The 23,336-nt window shown below is 55.8% G+C and overlaps 2 long non-coding RNA genes and 2 pseudogenes across 6 annotated transcripts, besides 1 other annotated feature; 2 read left to right on the top strand and 2 right to left on the bottom strand.

Annotated features, from left to right (window-relative positions):
- The first annotated feature begins 1,050 nt into the window (after window positions 1-1,050).
- Window positions 1,051-7,607, top strand: LOC105371569 (uncharacterized). 3 transcript variants are annotated; one of them, XR_934296.3, is made up of 4 exons: window positions 1,051-1,281; window positions 1,603-2,016; window positions 6,843-7,191; window positions 7,492-7,607. It is a non-coding gene; the product is annotated as an uncharacterized LOC105371569 (long non-coding RNA). The 3 variants fall into 3 exon arrangements; XR_007065653.1 differs by having other exon boundaries at window positions 1,074-1,281; window positions 1,914-2,016; window positions 7,495-7,607; XR_934297.2 differs by having other exon boundaries at window positions 1,074-1,281; window positions 1,914-2,016.
- KRT16P1 (keratin 16 pseudogene 1) lies at window positions 6,920-9,907 on the bottom strand (annotated as a pseudogene). The gene is made up of 7 exons (NR_073414.1): window positions 9,298-9,907; window positions 8,779-8,861; window positions 8,485-8,641; window positions 8,210-8,370; window positions 7,995-8,120; window positions 7,472-7,692; window positions 6,920-7,377 (listed from the first exon to the last, which is right to left on the bottom strand). The product of NR_073414.1 is annotated as a keratin 16 pseudogene 1 (transcript).
- On the top strand, window positions 9,758-11,363 carry LOC105371570 (uncharacterized). The gene is made up of 2 exons (XR_001752811.1): window positions 9,758-9,846; window positions 11,116-11,363. It is a non-coding gene; the product is annotated as an uncharacterized LOC105371570 (long non-coding RNA).
- Window positions 10,603-11,252: an enhancer, noted in NCBI's record as "H3K27ac-H3K4me1 hESC enhancer chr17:18341877-18342526 (GRCh37/hg19 assembly coordinates)". NCBI's record gives its function as "activates a minimal SCP1, AML or CMV promoter by ChIP-STARR-seq in naive H9 embryonic stem cells {active_cell/tissue: H9 hESC(naive)}" and the evidence as "EXISTENCE:reporter gene assay evidence [ECO:0000049][PMID:30033119]".
- A 6,525-nt stretch (window positions 11,364-17,888) lies between the features above and the next one.
- Window positions 17,889-22,954, bottom strand: KRT17P2 (keratin 17 pseudogene 2; annotated as a pseudogene). Its single transcript, NR_146075.1, has 7 exons — window positions 22,454-22,954; window positions 21,325-21,397; window positions 20,740-20,893; window positions 19,971-20,132; window positions 19,342-19,467; window positions 19,035-19,255; window positions 17,889-18,935 (listed from the first exon to the last, which is right to left on the bottom strand). The product of NR_146075.1 is annotated as a keratin 17 pseudogene 2 (transcript).
- Between the last annotated feature and the right edge of the window lie 382 nt (window positions 22,955-23,336).

The raw sequence follows: 23,336 nt of genomic DNA, 5'->3' as shown, positions 1-23,336 counted from the left end.
TTACCATCCACTTAGAGGAAGCCCACCACTGCAGGGGACAGATACCCAGCTGGAGAGCACCGGCATGGCAAGGTCACCTTGGGCACAGAGAGGCGTCCCTCACCATGACCCGCTGTTAGAGACAAGGAGGTCTGAGGGGCCCTCCCAGGCCTGACCTGCCATGCTGTGCTGAGAAGCCTGTCCCATCCCTGAAATACACTCAGCCAGTCAGGTGTATGGTGATTCCCACCCCAACACCCCCATCAAAGAGAAATCCAGGCAGCTCTCCCCAGCCCCGGGCACAGACCCTAATTTCCTCCCTACGGTGAGGATCTGACATCCACCACACCATAGGGCGGGTGGCCTCATGGAGGCCAGGAAACAGCCTGGAGTCAGGTGGGTCCTGGCTCTGCCATTTACGGCCCCGTGACCCAGGGCTTGGCGCTTCTCTGAGCCTCAGTGTTCTCATCTGCAAAGTGGGAGTCATACCATCTACTCTGCCTACTGCAGTCAGCTGTGAGAAGCCAATGCGACAGCGTATGTGAAAGGCTTTTGTAAACCGAGTATGGCAAGAAGCCTGGTTGGCATTGTTGTAGCCCAGGCTTAGCCCCAAAGTGGATGGAGCTGCATCCAGGAACAGGCCTAGGGGGGCCTTTTTTTCTTCCAGCCCCAGATATCCTCTCAGACCCCCAGAACATCCCTAGTGTAGGCAGAAGTCTGGCTCAGGTGCCCTCGTTTGAGCCCCTTGTGGAACTGGCCCAGGAGATGTTCTGGGGAGGAGTAGAAGCTGGAGTGGTGCCAGGCTGTGCCAAGGGCAAGGCTGAAGTGGACACGAGGGTCCCTGACTCCTGAAGCCCCAAGGGTCAGGGGACATTTCTAGGAGTCCACTTGGTCCTGCTTTGGAGGTGTGTATATCAAAACTTCAGCAATCTCCCAGACAACCTCCCAAAGCAAACCCTTCCGGCCCCCACCCCACCCTCCCGTCAGCCCCTGGGCTCCACAGACCCCAGCAGGCATGTTGGGAGGAATGTGGTCGTGTCTGGGGCTGCCTGACGCGTCCTATCTCCTCAGACAGGCCCCAACAGCCCCTGCTGGAGGCTCCACTGCTCTTCCTGGGATCAACTGTTCCTAGAAGAGAAGCAGGACCCTCTCTCACCCCACCCCCAACCTTGACTGTCACCAAAGAAGAAGCCAGAGAGGGGAGCCCCCCACTACTGTGGCCTAGGAGCTTGGAAGACAATACTGAGACAGACACCTGTGCTGTGGGCTCCCCAAATCTGCCAGCAAAGGACTCTCGAGGATGTGAGTAAGCCAGGGCCCCACCCCGCTCCACCCACCCCTGACAGACACTCCTAATCTCCCTGCAGAGAATGGTTCCCCCACCCTGACCCAGTCCTACAATTTCCCCAGAGAGAGGCAACAGGGGTTTTGGCTGAGGGGCAGATGCTTTTGTTGGGAGGCATGTTGCTGTTGGCTGTGGGGCAAGGGAAGGCTGTGCTCACTGGAGAAAAATGCTGTGTCCAGAGGGATCTGGGAGTGGGAATGGGGTGCAGGGCCCGGTACTGGCTTCCTCTGTGCCCCGCCACCCCCACCCACCACCACCACCGTCTCCTTCTTCTGCAGGGATCAGGAATAGAAGCTCCAGAGCCCAGGACATAGGAACAGCTTTACTTTCCCTTTCATTTGATTCAATGGAACCCAAAAGAAACTCCTTCCTCCCCCTGCTCCAAGGGGAATCCAAAAGATAAAGATGGCAGGGAACCAGTGACAGATCAGTCCATGCACATAATCTTAAAAGGCACTTCTGCAGCCCCATCCCAACCCCACGCACCGACTCCGGAGCTCTAGCATGGAATATAAGCCTGATCCCCCACACCGGTTCTCAGAACCGTGGCCTAACCTGGAGCCTGAGGCCAACCTCTCTTCCCCTGCAGTCAAGGACTCAGTGACCAAGGAGCTGCAAACAGCCCGGCCAAGCAGGGAGCAGACTTAGAGGACACCACACTCCCGTCCCCTCCCTGATGCCAAAGAAGCATGGTACTCAGACATTTTAAGGGAGGGCATTTTCTGGGTTATCAGGGGTTAAAGGGTTGCCAGTCTTGACAGCTGAGGCCCAGAGTACCCCCCACCTCTGGACTTCCAGGCAGGCTTTGTGTGAGCAGCATTACCTGACCCTCCCTCCAGCCTGCCCCAAAAGGAAGGGGGTAAAGGAGGAGCCCCGGGCAGGACCTCCTGTGGTTAGTGAGTCTCCCTGCACCACCCTACATGGGGGAGCCCCGTGCCAATACTAAAATTATTGTAAATGGATAAAATCCATGGGGTCAAAGAGATCAGGAAAGTAGATTATAGCAATCAAATTTTGGAATCTGGAAAACAAAGACAAAGAAAGCCCAGCGCTTGCCCAGAGAGAAGCCAAGAGGCAAAGCATATTTACACTCTGGAACTTTTTAACTCTGAATTTTTAAGAACTCTGGAAAGTCTCTGGAATAGGGGGCACCAGGTACCTCTGACAGTGAGGAACAAGTGAACTAGAAATAGTAGGGTGAGCTAGAGATCTATATAAAAAGCAGAGAGGTGGCCGGGCACGGTGGCTCATGCCTGTAATCCCAGCACTTTGGGAGACCGAGGCGGGTGGATCATGAGGTCAGGAGATCGAGACCGTCTTGGCTAACACGGTGAAACCCCGTCTCTGCTAAAAATACAAAAAAATTAGCCAGGCGTGGTGGCGGGCGCCTGTAGTCCCAGCTATTCGGGAGGCTGAGGCAGGAGAATGGTGTGAACCCGGGAGACAGAGCTTGCAGTGAGCCGAGATGGTGCTACTGCACTCCAGCCTGGGCAACAGAGTGAGACACCATCTCGGGAAAAGAAAAAAAAAAAGCAGAGAGGCCCCTATAGCTCCTCTCTCCCTTCCTTGTCTGAACCCAACCACTCCACGATTACTCCAGGAGAAACTAGATGTTTATGCTTGAGAATTTCCCCAGAGGGACTCTGAATCCTGAGACACCAAGCAGGGCCAATAAACTGCAATCAACTAGTAGCAGAGTAGCTGAGACTGAGACCTTCTCTGCCCCCTTCCTGCACTCAGCTTCCAGAAAGCTGGTAGCTTTTACAATCCAGACAGGGAATTAGAGGTATTCCTTCTGAGGAAGACCCTCCCCAAGAAAAGTCCTACAGATAACTGTCCCCCAACGAAACAGCTTATTCTCCACCAGATTACTCTATACTGAGACCTACCAGTGGCAAGCTCCCATGCTATCCATACACATATACACATATTCCAATCAGTTTCTCAGTGACTTACTCTTAAATATGAACGACTACCAAGGACCACCATACATCTGAGAAAAGCCTCTGGCATGAAAGATGGAGGCAAGACAAACAGCAAGAAAGAAACTGAGGAAACTGAGCTGATGACAGAAATAGAAGCACTGCTGGAGCCAGGACTAATAGGCTCAAAGAGATCAGAGAAACCATTGCATCTTGAAACAAGAACAAGAGACTGTTGAAAAAACATGCAGAGCTATGAGAGATGAAAAATATAAAAGATTATTGTTGTTTTTAAGACAGGATCTCACTCTGTTGCCCAGGCTAGAATGTGATGGTGTGATCTCAGCTCACTGCAGCCTTGACTTCCCAGGCTCAAGTGATCGTCCCACCTCAGCCTCCCTAGCAGCTGGGACTACAGGCCTAGGCCACCACATCCAGCTAATTTTTATATATTTTGTAGAGACAGGGTCTTACCATGTTGCCCAGGCTGGTCTTGAACTCCTGGGCTCAAGCAATCCACCCACCTTGGCCTCCCAAAGTGCTGGGATTACAGGCATGAGATGCTGTGCCCGGCCAAATACAGCAGATTTTTTAAAACTCTGAATAATGGAGTTAGAGGTCAAAGTTAAAGAAATTTCTCAGAAAACAGCAACAAAGAAAAAAAGACAAGACGGAAAATAAAACAGAATACATAGGAAAAAGAGCCATTTCAGAAAGAGAGAAAATGGAGGGAGGAAATCATGAAACACGAAAATTTGCCAGAATTGAACAACATGAGCTCCCACATTGGAAGTTTCTGCTAGTGTCCAGCCAGTGGATGAAGTCACAGCTGCATCAATTCAACACATGGTATTTCAGCCTGCTGGAGAGAAAGAGAAGAACTGAAAAGCTTCTAGGGAAGAGTGTGGGAATAGGATAATAAGACGTGATCTAGAATCAATATGGCATAAGACTTCTCAACAGCAACACCAGAATCCAAGAAACACTGAAACTGTACCTTCAAATGCTGAGTGCAAATGGTTTCCAAGCTAGAATTCCATACCCAGCCAAACTATCAGTCAAGAGTGAGGATCAACTAAAGATCTTTTTGACACAAACGGTCTAAAAAAATTTAACCCTGATAACTCCCTTCCCAGGAAACTACTTGAGGATGTGCTTCACTAAAACAAAGGGAAAAATGAAAACAGGAAGGAGGAAGACATTGGATCCAGAAAACAAGGAAAGCAACACAGGAAAAAGAAGGATTTCAGGATGATGGTGAAGAGAGATTCCAGGATCACAGCTGAGCAGGAGACCCAAACAGCACCCAGAACAGACAAGAGCAGGACAGAAGGCCCTAGGAGACACATCTTCATGAGGATGAAATTGAAGGAACACCCAGGGTTCTAAAATACTGAGGAGATTTATGCTTCCAGCAGTGAATCAGGAAACAAATTAATCATCAATACATAGAAAGTTTAGGCAAATTGAAAAAGAGATATTTATTCCAAGGAAATTTAATATAGTATAAAATGTAATATAGTATAATATATGATTTGACTATGAATAACATTTAAATAGTCATGATAATGTAAACATTTATTTAACAAAAATATGAATATATTGAGAAGGTGGGAAGAAGATATTTTAAAAAGAAGTGGGGAAGGGCAATGCTGTATAACAGATCTACATCCTCATCCTTCACAGCCAGAAGTCAAGCAATTAAAAACTGAAACAGAAAAACCAAACAGTAACAAGGTAAAGCCTGTTATTTAGAAGTAAGGAGACAAATCCCAAAAGAAACAGCTGAAGTTGAAAAGGGGAGGCAGGAACAGAGCTGTGGTATCCAGTCTAGGGATGGCTTTTTCATTAAAAAAAAAAAAGTCTTATTCACAATAGCAAAGACTTGGAACCAACCCAAATGTCCATCAATGATAGACTGGATTAAGAAAATGTGGCACATGTGCACCTTGGAATACTATGCAACCATAAAAAAGGATGAGTTCATGTCCCTTGCAGGGACATGGATGAAGCTGGAAACCATCATTCTAAGCAAACTATCACAAGGACAGAAAACCAAACACCACATGTTCTCACTCATAGGTGGGAGTTGAACAATGAGAACACATGGGCACAGGGCGGGGAACATCACACATCGGGGCCTGTCAGGGGGTGGGAGACTGTGGGAGGGATAGCATTTGGAGAAATACTTAATGTAAATGATGAGTTGATGGGTGCAGCAAACCAACATGGCACATGTATACCTATGTAACAAACATGCATGTTGTGCATGTGTACCCTATAACTTAAAGCATAATAATAAAAAAAAAAGTCTTGGCCGGGTGCCATGGCTCACGCCTATAATCCCAGCACTTTGGGAGGCCAAGACAGGCAGATCACGAGGTCAGAAGATCGAGACCATCCTGGCTAATACGGTGAAACCCTGTCTCTACTAAAAATACAAAAGAAAATTAGCCGGGCATGGTGGTGGGTGACTGTAGTCCCAGCTACTTGGGAGGCTGAGGCAGGAGAATGGTGTGAACCTGGGAGGTGGAGCTTGCAGTGAACTGAGATCGCACCACTGCACTCCAGCCTGGGCGACACAGCAAGACTCTGTCTCAAAAAAAAAAAAGGCTTATGATGTTATACATACATAACTTTTTTAAATTTAAATATTTAAAATATGGAAGGCATCCAGGAAGAAGGAATGGCAACTGAGAGGTATGGGTCATATCTCAGTCAGGTAGGGGTGACTCGGGGGTTTGGAGCTGGGAGGGACAGGAGGACACCAAGCTGGGTTGAGACTGAAGGCTGAGTGCTGGAGGGGAATGGGATCCATCGCCGGCTGTTAAGCAGGGGAGTCCTGATCTCACCCTTGTTCTTGATCCTGACCACATTCTGGTGGAAATCATTCAGTGGAAATTGAATGTGGATGAGATTGACTCTCAAGGGGACCCAGTTAGGCTGTGCCCAGGTCTAGGGAGAGAGGAAGAAGATCTGAACATGGCAATGGCCATGGGGCAGCAGGTGTTTCCTAGGGTGCTCATCAGCACGCAATTCACCAGCTGAGGGGAATGAGGAAGGAGGAGTTGATGGGGTGTGAGGAGAAGCAGGCTGGGAGAAGGAGGATTTCAGGTCTGACGAGGACATCGTTCTCAAGGCAGATACCACTCCCTTCCACCCTCCAATGTAGAAACTGTGTGCAGATGTGGGGGAGCCCATGGGTAGAGTTAAGATTCAAGCGTGGGAGTCTTCGGGTTAAAATACCTGAAAAGGTAGAGTGGTGTTAAAAGAAAGGCATGGACTTTGCAGACAGACAGAACTGAGTTTGAGCTCCAGCCGTGCCACTTACTATCTGCATGATTTTACGCAAGTTACTGAAACTCTGAATTCTGGGGGTTGTCAAATTCCAAAATGGGCCTGACCACACCCACCTCACAGGGTTGCAAGGGCAACCTCGTAAAATAACCTCTGTAGAATGCCTCCATGGTGTCAGTCAGCACGTGTGGACACTCCCCCATCCTGTGTCCCACCTCCCACTTCCATAGAGCATGGAGGTCTTCCAGGAAGAGCCTTCAAGATCTTCTGAGATTTGTCCCATTTCCCACATCTCTCAGGCTGTGAGGCTCCAGGAGGTTTCTGGAAAGCACCTGCAACTCCCCTCCCATCAGTTCAAGAACAGAGATCACACAGGTTTGCATCAACCAGAAAGTCAGCTTTATTAGCCCATCACCAGTAGAGGAGCAGGGAGACAGCTGGGAACTGCGCTGGGAGAGCAGGGTCCTGACCCAGGCCTTCAGGAGGTGAGGCCAGCTGGTGGGCAGGAGGCTGTGGTAGAGGCAGCTCAGTTCTAGGAGCACTGGCCCTGGCTGAAGCTGGATGAGCCCTGCTCCTTGAGGATGGGCCAGGTCTGACGGCTCGAAGAGGACGAAGAGGAGGTGAAGACTGTGGGAGAGAGAAGAGGAGGTGAGAAGGGGTCTGAGAGCTAAGCCAACTCCAGGGCAGGGAGAAGGGAGAGCTGGGAGCTCTCAGGAGAAGGGCCTGGCCCCCACTCCATGGAAACAGGCAGAGGGGTTGCAGTGCCGGGGAGCCTCAGGAGCCTTACCCACTCGGGAAGAACAGGATTGGCCAGATGCGTGTGGGGAGGAAAGGCTGTGGGTGAGAAAAGGCAGGGCAGTCAGTTGTGCTGAGAGCAGCAGGGGGGCTAAAGGGTCTGGGAGGCAGAACTGAGGGGCCTGGGACTCACTGGGCGTCCTCGCCCTCCAGCAGGTGGCGGTAGGTGGCGATCTCCTGCTCCAGCCGTGTCTTCATGTCCAGCAAGATCTGGTACTCCCGGCTCTGCTGCTCCATCTCACAGCATAGCTGGGCCAGCTGCTCCTCCACACTGCCAATCAGTCCCTGGATCTGGGACAGCTGCATGCAGTGGCAGCCTTTGGTTTCCTCCAGGCTGTTCTCCAGGGACGCTTTCTGCAAGTGAGAGAGAGAAAAAGAGTCAATGGAGGTGGTCACTCCTGTCCCTCCAGGTCTCTGGGCATGTTTTTTGAGAGGTGCCTGGATTTTGATCCCAGTTGGGGTACTGATGGGCCAGACAATATAGAGAAATGCTAGCCCACTATTCTAGGGCTAGTTTCTCTATCTATATAACAGGTCCCGTGAGTCCTCTGGTCCCATCCTGAGAAAAGAAAGGTGGAACTAAATTGTGGCTTGTTGAGGGGGTGGTGGCCATTACTGGTGACCTGGGGGCTGCTGCTGTGCCGGGTCCTTCATACTATGCTGAGCTGGGACTGCAGCTCCATCTCCAGGCCCTGGAACACCCTCTGGAGCTCCGTCACCTCACTGCGGCTGCTCTGTACCAGTTCACTGCTGGAGGCCACTTTTTTGTTCAGCTCCTTGGTCTGAGACAGGAAAGCAGAGTGAAAGGTGAGGCTCTCCCAAAGCCCCCAGCTGGGAAGTGCTGCAGGCCCACTGAGGGCCCAAGCCCCACCTTGCTCAGGAACCAGGCCCAGCATCTCTGTGGTTGTGCTTTGCCATCTGCTCGTACTGGTTGCGCATCTCATTCAGGATGCAGCTCAGGTCCACGCCAGGTGCGGCATCCGTCTCCACGTTCACTTCTCCACCGGTCTGACCTCGCAGAGCAAGCATCTCCTGGGAAGGGATGGCAGGAGGCGGTCAGCTCAGCAGACTCCTCTCCTGGCCCTGGGTGCATCTGGCAACCCCACCAAACCAGCCTCCCATCCCGGAAGCCAGCAGCAACCACACCTCCTAGTGGTTCTTCCTCAGGTAGGCCAGCTCCTCCTTCAGGCCTTCTATCTGCATCTCCAGGTCAGTCCTGGCCAGGGTCAGCTCGTCCAACACCCGGCACAGGCCATTGACGCCAGCCTCCACAGTCAGCCGCAGGGCCAGCTCGTGCTCCTAACTGGCAGGACAGAGGTCAGGTCCTTAGGCTGCAGCCCTGAGGATTCTGAGGCTCGGGGTCTGCTGGCCCTGCTGGGTGGACAGCTCCACTCTTTGTCCCTTGCCCTCTGCCCCCAGCCCACCATGCTGGCTGCTCACTTGGTCCTGAAGTCATCAGCTGCCAGCCTGGCATTGTCAATCTGCAAAATGGGCTGCGCATTCTCAATGGTGGCCGCAATGATCTGGAGTGGGGATGGAGGACAGGAGCCCTGGTCAGGCAAGGACCTTACTACTTGAGCGTGAAAGGCAGAAAGGGGCAAAAGGAACCTCCTCAAATCTGGAAGTCTTCTGGCTGGCAGGGCTGGCATGCCTTCTCCACCAGCTCAGGGTATGCAGGGATGCACTCCATCCCGATCACCCCCTTCCTGGGCCCAAGGCAGGGAAGCGGAACTTGCAGCTGAACCCTTGCAGGAAATAAGAGATTCAGGGTAACAGCCCCAGTCCGGGCACAGAGATGCTGAAAAGGGACCCTCTGCCACCACTTCCCTGGATGATCCTGGCTACTCCCCAAAGGTGCCCAGTCTCCCTGTTTGTAAAGTGCAATTGCTAAAAAGAGGTATCCCAAGGGACACTATAGCCCCAGCCTCTCTCAGTGCTCCATACACCAAAGTCACCCACCTTGTGCCTCAGGTCCTCGATGGTCTTGAAGTAGGGACTATAGTCTTTGATCTCACTGGGCCGCTGCCTCTGGTACCAGTCACGGATCTTCACTTCCAGGTCGGCGTTGGCCTCCTCCAGAGCACGCACCTTGTCTAGGTAGGAGGCCAGGCGGTCACCGAGGTGCTGCATGGTCACCTTCTCACTGCCCACCAGAAGCCCATCACCACCAGCAAAGCCACCACCCAAGCCAGCACCCAAGCCACCACCGAAGCCAGCACCAAGGCCACCACCATATCCTCCCCCAAAGCCACTAGCAAAGCTGCTGCTGCTGCCGAAGCCACCGCCATAGCCGCCCCCCAGCCCGCAGGCTCCCCCAAAGGAGAAGCGAGAGAAGGAGACACACAGGCCCCCCCGTAGGTGCTGGGGGCATGGCAGGACCCTCCGGCCAGGACAGAGGAGATGCGGCTGGAGCCGCCCCCGATGCTGCCCCCGATGCTGCAGGAGCCCTTCATGGATCTGGAGGAGGTGAACTGGTGGCTGCAGGTGCTCATCGTGCCAAGGAGGGAGGTGAGCGAGCGAGCAGTTGGCTGAAAAAAGGGAAGGTGCTCAGGAAGGCTAAGAGCATGCTGTGGCTGCCTCCAACCCCAGAGACCTTTATATGCACCTGGGGAAGGCGGGGCCCTCCTAACTGCTGACTCCAGGTTCCCCTCTGGATTTCATCACTCCCAGTCCCGTCCAACTCCTCACTCTGGATTATTCAGCCCAGGATCAACTCCGCTGTGTGCTGGCTCAGAGTTCCCACCCAGCTTTGAGAGTGTGGAGCTGAGAGAAAAACACACAAATGCGAGTCGGTGGTGACTCAGGCTAGGTGGCCGGGAATCAGGCTCCCGTTCCTGGAGCCCTTGGGGCCAGTGGGGCCTTGGCACAGGTGGCTTTGTGGCAACTGCGTCCCCAGGCAGTGAGTCAGCCCTTCAGAAGAACTCCCTGCCCCACAGTGACAGCCTTGGCTGAAAGAGACCTCAGTGATGCCATCCTGGGCTGTCTTGGGGAGCAGTTGCGGGGATCCTACATGTCCCACTCTGGGCAGGGGCAGAGTTCGTGTCTTCACTCTGCTTGCTGTGTGGCCTGAGGCTCCCCACCTCCCACCTCTGGGCCTGTTTCCCCTCAGTGGTGACCAGGCTGGACTGGGTGATTGCAGAGTCCCTTCTGGTTCTAAAAATCCTATGACTCTCTTTCCCCTCTTGGATCTAATTCCAGTTCCGGAGGCTGCCTTGAGCCCCCGGGATCTCCAGAAGTGTGTGCACCATACAAACAGCACTGGCCATGGAGCCAGACAGGCGGCACTGAGTCCCTGCTCTGCCCTTACCAGCTGTACAGCACAGGCTGGTCTTACAGCCCCTTGGTCCTCAGTTTTCTCATCTGTAAAAGGGGATGACACACCACTAGCCACAAAGAAACATGTGCGAAGCGCCCCACTGGCCCTTCCCCAAGGGCCAGCCCTGCCCCTCATCCTCCTCATCCTCCCCCTCCAGCCACCTGCTCCTCACACTCACCTCTACACACTGGCACCCTCCCGAACCGCTACGCGGGGCCCTGCGTCCCCCACACTCCCAGCAGAAGAACACCACAGCCCCACACCTAGCTCCTCCACTCCTCTACCGCCCTCTCCTAATCACAGGCACCCCACCTGCAGGCCGGTGGGAGGGAGCCCCGTCCTGCCACTGCAGCCAAGTGTGACCCCTGACCCCGCCGTGGGCCTCAGAGTTCCCCCCTACCCTGTAGAAACAGGACTGGCTGGGGATCCGTTCCCAGCAGTTCTCTCTCCTGTGTCCACAGATCCCACGCTGGGCCTGGCAGCTCCATTCATCCAGCTGAGCTGGGGGAGAGCACCGGTCATGGGCCCACTCAGGCACGCATGGAGAGCCTGGTGTGTGTTGTACGGTTCTGTGAGCAGGGATGACGGGGGCGTTATTCCTGCCACCAGTCCTCAGGTGAGGGAGCTGGGATTCAGGGAGGATAAGTGGGCTTCCCAAGACACCAGGCACTGGAAGCTGAGATGTGAACCTGCCTGCCTGTTCTCCTTGCCTAAGCCTGTTCTGTCATCCTGAGCCCTCTCTCTGTGCATCTCAAATTTATATCATTTTCTTGATCAGAGGGGACAGAGGGGTAACCAGAGACAGGTGGAGATTCACTCAAAGTCACTCTGCTTTAAGCTGCAGAGCTGCAACTAGAACCCAGACCTCAGCCCTCTCCAGGCTCCCACCATGCCTGCAGGCGGGGCCAGTATACCCAACTCTCACCCACCTCCCCACGATCACTGGCATGAGGTCTGCCCAGGGTGGGCGTGGCCTTGGCCTGAGAGGCTGGTGCAGCACCGAGGACTGGAGGGAGGAGGAGGGATCTGGGCACCAAGACGGGGCCTCCTCAGGGTGCCGTGGGGCATCCCTTGGTGCTGGCCACTGGCCTTGCTCTGCAGTGCCTCTGTTGAGGTGAGGAGCCCAGAGACAGCCTGCCTCTGCCTGGGCTCCACTGGGGCAGGCAATTCCTTGTCTCAGCAGAACCAGGGTTTTGTTGCTGCTACATCTCCCCTGGTCACTCTGGGATCAGAGGTAAGAGCAGAATGGATGCACATGCCTTCAGAGCCAAACCTGGGAGAGGGAACCCGACACTCCCCACCTGAAGGGGTGGCCTGCCCCTCCACACCTGTGGGTGTTTCTCGTGGGGTGGGATGAGAGACTGAGAAAAGAAAGAGACACAGAGACAAAGTACAGAGAAAGAAAAATGGGCCCAGGGGACTGGCGCTCAGCATACAGAGGACCCACGCTGGCCCCAGTCTCCGAGTTCCCTCAGTATTTATTGATCATTATCTCTACCATCTCTACCATCTCCCAGAGGGGGATGTGGCAGGACAATAGGGTAATAGTGGGGAGAGGGCCAGCAGGAAAATGTGAACAAATGTCTCTGTGTCATAAACAATGTTAAGGAAAAGGTGCTGTGCTTTGATGTGCACATACATAAACATCTCGGTGCATTAAAAAGCAGTGTTACCGCCAGCATGTCTCACCTCCAGCCCTAAGGCGGTTTTCTCCTATCTCAGTAGATGGAATATACAATCGGGTTTTACACCGAGACATTCCATTGCTCAGGGATGAGCAGGAGACAGACGCCTTCCTCTTATCTCAACTGCAAAGAGGCCTTCCTCTTTTACTAATCCTCCTCAGCACAGACCCTTTACGGGTGTCGGGCTGGGGGACGGTCAGGTCTTTTCCCTTCCCATGAGGCCATATTTCAGACTATCACATGGGGAGAAACCTGGCTTTCCTAGGCAGAGGTCCCTGCGGCCTTCCTTCCGCAGTGTTTTGTGTCCCTGGGTACTTGAGATTAGGGAGTGGTGATGACTTTTAACAAGCTAGCTGCCTTCAAGCATTTGTTTAACAAAGCACATCCTGCATAGCCCTAAATCCATTAAACCTTGAGTCGACACAGGGCATGTTTCTGCGAGCACAGGGTTGGGGTAGGGTTACAGATTAACAGCATCTCAAGGCAGAAGAATTTTTCTTAGTACAGAACAAAATGGAGTCTCTCATGTCTACTTCTTTCTATATAGACACAGTCCGTATAGAAAGAGACACTGATCTCTCTCTTCCCCACACCCACCCCCACCCCAAAGAGGGACAAAGGGGACCCCGGAATCTTGGACAAAAACCTCAGCGTTCAGGTGTCAGGGTGGGCCTGGAGTTCCAGTCCAACCACAGACCCATCACCCTCAGAACTGAAAATGGTCTTCAAGGTCACCAAAGGCTATCAATACCCCAACCGGAGAGGGCGAAAGCCTTATCCAGGTTAAGCAGCACAAAAGTGAGAGAGCACAGACCGGAGCCAGCTCCAACTCCCAAGCCAGGATTCACACCGACTCTCACAGTGGAGTCTCCGAGAACTCTTCACTCTCTGCCCCCACCGTGTGTGCGTGCACACACACCCCTTTCTCATTGGCTCACTGCCCCCCGCCAAGTTCCCCATTCCAGGAGGTGTCAGGGTGGGATTATACACAAGCCCAGCACTGCAGACCTGAGGATCTGCGTGGGCTGAGAAGCTGCAGGAAGTTGCTGACCAACGCGCCAAACTGCTCAGCCAACTCCATAGATCACGCAGCTGCTGTGTGCACAGCTCTCGGGGGCTGGGGGTGAAGAGGGAAATGATGACGTAGTCTCTGACCTTAGAAGAACTTATCATTTGACCCTGGAGGGAAAACTAACGCTGGAAAATGCAGAACCTGGCTAGAAACCCTAGGGTGCTGGGCTTGCCTGCCACGCCCACACCACCGGAGGCAGCTGGGGTAAGCATTACCCCGCTGAGCCTCAGCAGTAGAGGAGGGGGCTGCCCTCCTGGCCTTGATCCCTGAAAGGGTCCCAGCAGAGGGAGGCACCAGCAGGGCCTCAGAGGATCTGAGTTGACAGAAGAGGAGGAGGCGTTTCCTCTGCATCAGTGATGCACACTTGCCCCAAGGTGGCCAAGAGCCAGGACCTCTAAGCCTGGTGAGCATAGAGAAGCCCAGTGGGCATCCTCCAGGCAGAGGATTCCTCCCCGCACCCTGCCTCCTTCCTCCCTCCTTCGTCCTGCCCATGTCAAGCATGAGGCGGAGATCATAGCATACCTGAGGAGGCCGGGAATCACCATTGGCCAATGCCACGCCTTGGCTTGCAGTGATTCTCCAACCAGACAGATCATCAGAGTCCCCAAGAAGATTCGCAGCCCTGCTCCAACTCCTGCATCAGCACCACTCAGGACAAGCCTGCTGGTGGGGCTGTTTTACAAGCTCCCCAGCCAACTCAGACTGGGAAGGCAGGAGGCAGCTTAGGGGGCTGAGGAGGGGGGCAGAGAAGCTGAGGGGAGAGAGGGGGCTGCTGCAGGGCCCCCAGCCCTGGGTGGACAAGCCAGAGCCACAGGCTTCAGGGCAGGAGGAAGGAAAAGTAGAGCCCCACTGAGCCAGGACAGAGCAGCCTGGAATCGGGGCAAGCAGGGGCAAAACCTTGGGCAGGATATTCAGCCTCTCTGAGCCTCAGTTTCCTTGTCTGGGAAATGGGAATAACAGCCCTGCGTCACAGGCATATTAGGGGATTTGAGGCCAAATAAATAAAGCACCTGGCAAAGGCTGGTGGCTAGCGTTATGTTTATGAGCAGGTGTTTATAAAGCACCTACTGTGTGCCTGACACTGTGCTGGGCACTCAGACTCAAAGAACAAGACAGAGAAGCCCTGGAGACATAGTCTTCTGGGGGAGAAGGTGGTAAAGACAATCCCAATACACTAAAGTCAGGCCACGATGGGGTGCTGGGGCCCTGCAGAGAAACAGAGGGAGCAGGGTTCCTGGGGGAGAACGAATGTCCAGGCCCAGGCTCTGCCCCTGTGACGGCTCCAGGGATCTGGGGAAATCTGTGAGTGCCAGGCCCACCTTCGGGGGTCCTCTCCCCTCCTGCAAGTTTGACGCCCCCCTTCTGAAGGTGGGGCTGTCATAGCCCTTCACAATCCAACCACAGATCTGCAGCTTCTGCCTTGATGATGGGGTGAAACATTCTGTGCAGTGGGCAGGGTGGCTGTGGACGAACTGTGAGTCCTTCCATGAGTCCCATAGCTGGGTCCCCAGTCCAGCCCAGGCACATGTCCTCAGCAGCCTGGACCCACTTGGGGTGCCTGTTCTGCACAAACAAGGGGCCCGGACTCCTGTATGAGTCTCAGGAAACCCCCAAGAGGGGCTCCCATTGCCCCCACCCCAGGAGTGTGAGCGGGAAGCTGGTGCCTCCAGGGAAGGCTGCAGACCCCAGGGGTTGTGGGAGAAAGAGTGGGCCTCTCTCAGGGATGTTTCTTCAAATGGTCACTACAGCTCAGGGTGAGGACGGGTCTCTGTCAAGCTCAGTTATCCCCTCGGCTCTGTGCATGTGGGGAGACCTGCCTGGCTCTGCTCCCTCTGTTCCCCTCATCTCCCCAAAACCTTGGTTGCCACAATAGACCCACACTGCATAAGGGCTGAGGGACTGTTGTCAGTCCCTCAGGTCCCCTTGGGGCAGGCACTGTCTCTTGGGGTCAGGACCGGTGTCTCCTCCTTTCCCTGGACTCAGTGCAAACCAGACGCAGAGCGATGTCATGCCATGGATGAGTGTCCCCCACCACATCCGTCTCCGTAGAAGACATGCTGCCAGGTCAACCCCTGCAAGGGGGGTCCGGAGGCAGCTACCACTGGCATGGGTCTGGCCTGAGAGTCTTATATGTGTGTCCATCACACGAGACCAGGTGTGGCAGCTCTACAGGGTAACCACATATCCGCAGCTTCTGCCTTGAGGACATTCTGTGCAGTGGGCAGGGAGTGTGTGGACGAACTGTGAGTCCCTCCTTGAGTCCCATAGCTGGGTCCCCAATCCAGCCCAGGCACATGTCCCCAGCATCCTGGGCCCACTTGGGGTCCTTGGACAAAGTCACTCAAGTCTCCCCACCAGCCCCTGGCAACCACTGCCTCTACTGGCTCAGCTCTCTGGGCACACCGGGGGGCTCCCCCATTCTGGCCTCCTGAGCCTCCCACCCACTCACTTTGTGGAGAAGGGCTTCTTCCCCAGCAGAGGGGCACAGTCTGGGGCTGTCTCTGGTCCTTCCCACACTCTGACCCCTCCTCACTCACGCCATCAGTAATTGTGGACCCCAGGCTCTACAGGAGGGAGAGATAGCCCTGCCTGGAGCCTGAGGTGGGGGAGGAGCTGGGGCTTGGCTCCTCTTCCCAGCACGGAAGCGGGGCCCACTCCCCTCCCGTGCCCGTCTCCACTACTGACCCCTCAGGCTGTGGGACAAGGGCTGAGTCACTGCTCCTTGGAGCCTCAGTGTCCCCATCCACACAACAAGGCGCCTTCCCCTAGACCCTCCCTGCTTCCGGGGACTATTCAGACAAATGAAGTCACCCTCCAGAATGAGCCATCTGCAGCCCAGGGCTGTTCTTCTGGTTGTGGCGGGGTGTATGGTGGGGGCCTGGTGCAAACAGTGCCTCCCTCCTGCCCTCCATGGCCCCACATTTGCTGCCAGAGAGCAGGGAGACGTCAGCCTCCAACGGAGCAGAGCTTGCCCTTGCTTTGAGTCGTGCAGATGCCGCTGCAGGTGCAAGTCCCCGACTCCAGGCAGCCATCTACCCTGCAGAGAGAAACACTCTCCCGGGATGTCATAGCTCCAAGGTCCAGGGAGGGCTTGTGACCAGCCCAAAGTCACCCATACCCCAGTGGTCAGTACCCACCCCCATCCCTGGCCTCTGCCAGTCCCAAACCCCCACCAACCCAGGCTCAGAGGGCTCTGGTCACTCCCATTCTCCTCGGACCTGGGCCCCACCCCCAGCCTCCAGGCACCAGGAGAGAGAGGGTGTTTGGGGGCCTTGGTCTGATTCCGCAGCAGCAGAGACACCACAGGTCCAGCAGTGAGGACGTGGAGGCACCCTCCTCCCACTAACCCCCTGCTTGAAGAAAACCAGGAAAGCAGGCCAACCCACCTGGCAGTTTCCAGATTTACTACAAGGAAGATTTCCAGGTGTCAGGCTCACCTCCCACAGACTGCTCCCCACAGCCACGTTTGCTGCCACCAGCAAGAGCTGGCGTTGGTCAGCTCATAGAGGGTGCCGGGAGTGGCTGGAGCAGGACTGTTCCTTCTCATTTTCCTAGGAGGCAGTTTCTACCCTCCCTCACACCACCCCTGTCCCTAGTGGGGAACCAAAGAGGATCCAGACCGCCAGGGAGAGTGGCACTGCTCCCTGGGCACAGCCACCCCATCTGCAGTGCCCCCCACTCTGCCCTGTCCGCATCCTGAGCAACAGCTGACCATGTGAGGAAACATCCTTGAGAGAGGCCCCACCCTTTCTCCCATACCTGCCTGGGGTCCGCAGCCTTCCCTGAAAACACCACCCTCCCGCTCACATTCCCAGGGCAGAGGCAATGGGAGCCCCTCTTGGGGATTTCCTGAGACTCACACAGGAGTCGGGGCCCCAATCACCCAGCCTGCCTCCCCCACCCACCCTCCCTTTGTGCTTATCCCAGCCCTTGCCCACCTCCTGCCCCATCTAGGGGGAGGGCACAGCCCACAGGACAGGAAGGAGCAACTGATTGAGTGAGTCATCTCTGAGGATTCGGGCTCCCACACCTGAGATCTTCCCATCCATTTACGGATGGAAAAGCAAGGCTCAGTCAGGGGAAGTGACTGCCTAACTTCCCGAGGTCACAGAGTTACTCACAGGGCAAGCAGTGGCGACCTAGGACCACACCTGATACACCGCCTCCACCCCGGGTCTAGCGCAGCCTGGACCACCCCCTGAAAATCTCCAGCCCTTGGGAGATGCGAGCACCCCCCTCCAAACTCTCCCCAGACTTACTCTTTATGCTGGTCTAAGCTGACCTCTGACCTGCCAGTCAACAACGGGGTCTCCACGCACCATCTCCCCCCACCCTCACTCCTTCCCATTTCACCCTTTTGTCCCCAGTGCCCACTTCAGCGGCCAGAACAAGGACACATTTCATAGCTGAGTCAACGAGCTTTATTGTCATCACGCAGGGAAGCATGGCGAAGGGACTGAAGCAGGGGGCTGAGGGTGGAGAGGCCGGAGACCGCGGGGCAGATGGGACCGCTGCCTCCCTGCCTCCTGGGGGGCCGGCCGGGAAAGCTGAGTCCTCAGCGGGTGGTCTGGCGGACCTGCTCGCGGGAGGAGATGACCTTACCATCCTGGACCTCTTCCACAATGGTAGGCACCTGACAGGTGGTCACCGCTGCAGGAGAAGCAGGCAATTTAAAGTGGGTAGGGGCCAGGAGGCCCTCGCTTGCCCCCTAGCCCTCATGGACAGGAGCCGGCTCTCTCCCTCGTCCTCCCCCAGGTGCTGTGAGTGCCTCCACTGGCACCTCAACATCACACTGCACACACATCCCTCCTGTCCCTGCCACCGCCTCCCTTCCATCCCATCCCTCTGCCGGTGGCCCTGTGTGAGTCTTGCCTCCGCAGATGGGTTATTTGATTCTGACCCAGTGTGTCCTGCCAGGGAGGAGCCATGTAGACTCCATGAAATCCATCTCCATTTCTCTGCAGTCTCCAGGGCATAGATTTGCTCCCATCTCCCCCATCAGACTGGGATCGCCAAGACAAAAACCAGGCCCCTATCTCCTCCATTAGACTAGGAACCCTGGGGCTAGCATCATATCTTCTCCATCAGACTGGAATTTGGAGGACAAGGAGCATGTCCCTATTTCCCATCAGGCTAGAGTCCCCAGAGACAGGACTGCTTTCGCTCATCCAAAAGCTGTCAAGAGCATAGATCATGAGACCATGTTCCTATCTTCCCATCAGATGACAATCTCCAGAGGTGGGACCTGTCTCCTCCATCAGACTAGGATCTCCAAGGTAAGGACCAGTTCCCTGGCCCACCCCATCAGACCAGACAGCATCTCTCTCATTTGATCTTTTCCTGAGTATCAATCCTCAGTGCTAACGGGTCACTTCTCCCACCCCTGCTGAGGGACAGCCATCAACTCCTAGAACTCCTGGGGACCCAGCTCCAGCAACGTGCAGGTGGGCTGCCTGTCCCATGCACCCAATCCCCAAGGCCTCAGCCACCAAGATGCTTATGTTCTTTCTTGTACTGAGTCAGGCTGAAAGAAAAAAAAAACAGAGAGGAAATTAGATGTGAGTCTGAGAGCCCCACCCCTGCCAAGAGGCCCCCAGCCCTGACCCCAGGCTCCCCCACTCACTGGGCATCCTCGCCCTCCAGCAGGCGGTGGTAGGTGGTGATCTCCAGCTCCAGCCGCATCTTCATGTCCAGGAGGATCTTGTACTCCTGGTTCTGCTGCTCCATCTCGCAGAGAAGCTGGGCCAGCCGCTCCTCCACACTGCCGATCAGTCCCTGGATCTGGGACAGCTGCATGCAGTAGCGGTTCTCTGTCTCCGCCAGGTTGCCCTCCAGGGATGCTTTCTGCAGGAGGGCAGGAAGACCAGGGGTCAGTGAGGGTTGTCAGTGTCCTCTTCTGGGCCCATCCCCATGCACAGGACTGTTCCTACCATGCTGAGCTGGGACTGCAGCTCGATCTCCAAGGCCTGCATGGTGCACCGGAGCTCCGAAATCTCGCTCTTGCCGCTCTGGACCAGCTCACTGTTGGTAGCCACCTCGCGGTTCAGCTCCTCTGTCTGCAGACAGAACACAGGACAGGGTGGTGTGAGCCTGGATCCCTCTCCTCAGTCAGGCCTCCTCCCAAATCTAACTGTGGACAGAGTGATGCCTTCTCACCAGCTTCCCACGTCCCAAAGCCCAGAAACATGCCATTTGAAATGTTAACTTTTTATGGTTAATCCCTGCGTGTGGGAGGCACAGACCGGAAACTTGAGAACCAGCCAGAACATGTAGCCTGGCTCTTGGTGCTAGTTTCTGACTTCTTGAGAGAGAGGTGGGGACTCCCAAGGTCTTTACCCTCTGCCTTTATTCTGTGGGGGCTCCCTAGCTCCCCACTCACCCCCCAGATCCCAGCTTGAGCTCAGCTCCAGGTCTGTTGATGCAGTGGGTGACCCTGTGGTCCATGCAGCTTGCTGAGGAGGGAGCATCTCCAAGACACCTGTCCGTGGGCCTACTGTCAGTGCTAAGGCCCCTGAGCCCCAGCCCCGAAGAGAGACCTCTGGCCTGCAGCAGCTCCCACCTTGCTGAAGAACCAATCCTCGGCATCCTTGCGGTTCTTCTCTGCCATCTTCTCATACTGCTCACGCATCTCGTTCAGGATGCGGCTCAGGTCCACACCTGGGGCAGCGCCCATCTCCACATTGATCTCACCGCCCACCTGGCCTCGCGGGGCGTTCATCTCCTATGGAAAAAGGGGATGTGGATGTGCGCATCTGGACCCATCCTGATCTCTCACTCCCAAGCCTTCCCCCACGAGGTGACCCCATTCCCCACAAGGACCCCTCCTTTGTTCTTCCTCTGCTCTATCTGACCCTCTAAATGATTTTTATTCATCTGCTCAGTATTGCCTCCACCATCAGACTCTATCTCCCCCATTAGACCAAGGGCTCTCCAAAATAAAATCTAATTATTAGGCCTATGCCCCAAAAATTTCCCCTCTAATTTCCAAGCTTCTGTGTAGATGTTCAGCTTTGAGAGTTTGAAATGGGACAAGAAGGAGACTTCCTTACTTATCCCCTGCCCTCATCAGGGAGGCCAGGGCAGGTAGAGGGAGCCTCTGCGGGCCCCTGGGAGGTTCCTTGGGTACAGAGAAGCAGTGTGGTACAAAGAGGAGTCTGCCCTGCACGCTGGACCCCAAGGATCAGGGCTCCGCAGACAGGGAAGCCCTCTAAGGTGACTAATCCCAGTGCGCCTGCTGTGCTCTCTCGCACGGCCTCAGCCATGGCCCAGCCCCAGGGCTCTGCCACCCACTCCTCAGCATCTTTGACCTTCTGCCCCAGCCACCTCACCTCGTGGTTCTTCTTCAGGTAGGCCAGCTCCTCCTTGAGGTTCTCAATGTGCATCTCCGGGTCGGCTCTGGCCAGGGTCAGCTCATCCAGCACCCTGCACGGGCCATTGATGTCGGCCTCCACACTCAGGCACAGGGCCTGCTCTGTCTCAAACCTGCCATGGGAATCAGGGACTTCAGCCCAGGCTGCTTGGAATTGCAGGTCCAGGTCCTGGCTGCTCACCTGCCTTCATTTTGCCAGGACTCTAAGGGGTTGGAAGGGCTGATGAGAGGGTCGAGTGGAAACGAATTCCAGCCCCGGGGCCTTGGGACCATCACAGGGCCAGATCCTACGCCCACCAGCTTCCTTACTTCTCTCTGCCTCCTGCCTCCCCTCCCTCTCTTCTATTCCCTGCCTAAGCCCAGCAACCTTCAGAACTGGCTGCCTTCACTGCATCCTGGACTAAGTAGTGGGGCTCCTAGGATTGCCCCACCCTGAGCTCCTGGGCCTTGCCACAAGCAACCAAGGAGTCCTGGGGTCAGGAGGGGTACCCTGAGATCCTCCCCCAGCTGACCCAGGCTGCCCAAGCCCACAGCTAGGACTCACTTGGTGCGGAAGTCAGCAGCAGCCAGATGGGCATTGTCATTCTGTAGCAGGATGTTGGCATTGTCCACGGTGGCTGTGAGGATCAGCGGAGATGGGAGAGTAGTCAGGTCATCGGATGGGGGTGGCTGAGCCCACACCAGAGTTCTGAACAGATCTTCCTGCCTGGGGGCCTCTCTTCCCGCCCAGCCCCTCCCTTGCCCCGTGCTGTATTATTGGCAGAGGAGGGGCAAGCAGGAGTCTGAAGGGCTCAAAGGTGCCTCTTCTTCCCCCGCTACTCAGTACCCCACCAGACCCCCATGCCAGGCTCAGCCTTAAAGGAGAAGAGACAGCTGGCTGGGAGTATGAGGCAACCAGAAAAGAAAGGGAAAATGTCCCCAGGGCAGAAACTGTCCCAGAATTCTAGAACAAGGGAGGGGATGTGGGCAACCCCCTCGTTTTACAGTCAGCTAGAGGGTGCCCCTGACAGGCTCCCCCAAAAGGAGGCTAAAGGAGCCCTCACCAAAGAGTGGTCCCAAATCAGAAGTCAGGACCCTTCCTAATCCCTAACCCTGGGCTCCAGCCAGCAGCCCCGCCCCCTGCGGTTTGCTGAGCCTGTCTTAAGGGACAGCAGGAGGAAAGGAGAAGCCAGAAAAATCCCCAAATAAGGCACATCAGAGGCCTTCCCCACCCTGAGGTCCCACCCCCTCCTTTCTGCCTCCCACCCGCAGCAGGTGCTATCGGGAGCTCACTCAGACACCCCCACTCCACACCTCCCAAAACCCCTTCCTGCTGACCCCTGCTCCAAAGGAGCAAGACACCACGCATCCAGTGGCCCATGGGCCCAGCCCTCCATCTGCATCCTCCTGCCTCATCCTACAACCTCTCCAGGTGGAGGAGCTCCACGAGGGAGAAACTGAGTCTCCAAGGGGCTCCACGAGGCCTGTTTGTTCCTGACTCAGCCTACTGCCCCCAGAAAAGGGGGATGTGGGCCACACAGGGGCCCCAAGGCAGGTTCCCAGAAGCTAAGCCACAGCCAAACCACCCTTGGCTCCCTGAGACCCTATGGCTGGACTCCAGGCCTTTGGCCAGGGCAGGAGTTGGGGGGAAAAAGTCATGCCCCCCGGAGACCCCTCCCACCAGCAGGCCCTACCTTGTTCTGCAGCTCCTCGATTATCCTGTAGTACTGGCTGTAGTCACGGGCGGGCCCCGGGGCCTGCCTCTGGTACCAGTCACGGATCTTTACCTCCAGCTCAGTGTCGGCCTCCTCCAGGGCACGCACCTTGTCCAGGTAGGAGGCCAGGCGGTCATTGAGGTTCTGCATGGTGGCCTTCTCACCTCCGACCAGCAGCCCATCAACGCCCTCAAAGCTGCTGCTGCCATAGCCACCGCCAGAGCCAAAGCTGTAGCAGCTGGAGTAGCTGCTACCCCCGAGGGCGCTGCCCAGGCCACCAGCAGATCCCGGCCTGCAGGAGCCGGCACCCAGGCCGCCAGACAGCTGGCAGGAGGTGCGGGACGAGCCGCCCCCCAGGCCAGAGGAGCCCTTGATGGAGCTGGAGGAGGTGAACTGGCGGATGGAGGTGGTCATGGTGGCGGCGGCAGGAGGCAGGCACACAGGAGAAGGGCTGGAAAGAAGAGGGGCCCCAAGTAGTGTAGGGCTGCCGGGGTTCACAGGCTTCCTTTATAGGCCACCAAGTGGGCGTAGCGATTACAACAGGCTCCTCTGTTTCCCTTCCCCTGGGCTTTCATCACCACGGGCCACCTGCCAGCTCCCAGGTGGCTGGGGACCCCCTCCCCACCCATCATCAGGAATTTGCCTCATTTCTCCAAATCCTCGTGCTGGGTGCCACGCGTGTGCGTGCCACTGCTCTGAGGCCCGTCACCTGTGATTTGGGCGGGCCCTCCAGCTATGCTTTCCCATGACCTAATATGGGAGAAGAGGAGAATACAGGACTTCACCGTCCCCAGGCCCTCCCAGGCAGCCACCACCCCAGCCCGGCCCACCTCAACCCTGTCTGGTGGGGAAATGGGTTGCA

The sequence above is a fragment of the Homo sapiens genome, chromosome 17 (assembly GCF_000001405.40).
Source record: "Homo sapiens chromosome 17, GRCh38.p14 Primary Assembly".
Classification (NCBI taxonomy): domain Eukaryota; kingdom Metazoa; phylum Chordata; class Mammalia; order Primates; family Hominidae; genus Homo; species Homo sapiens.
This window is presented reverse-complemented; position numbering and strand designations above follow the sequence as displayed.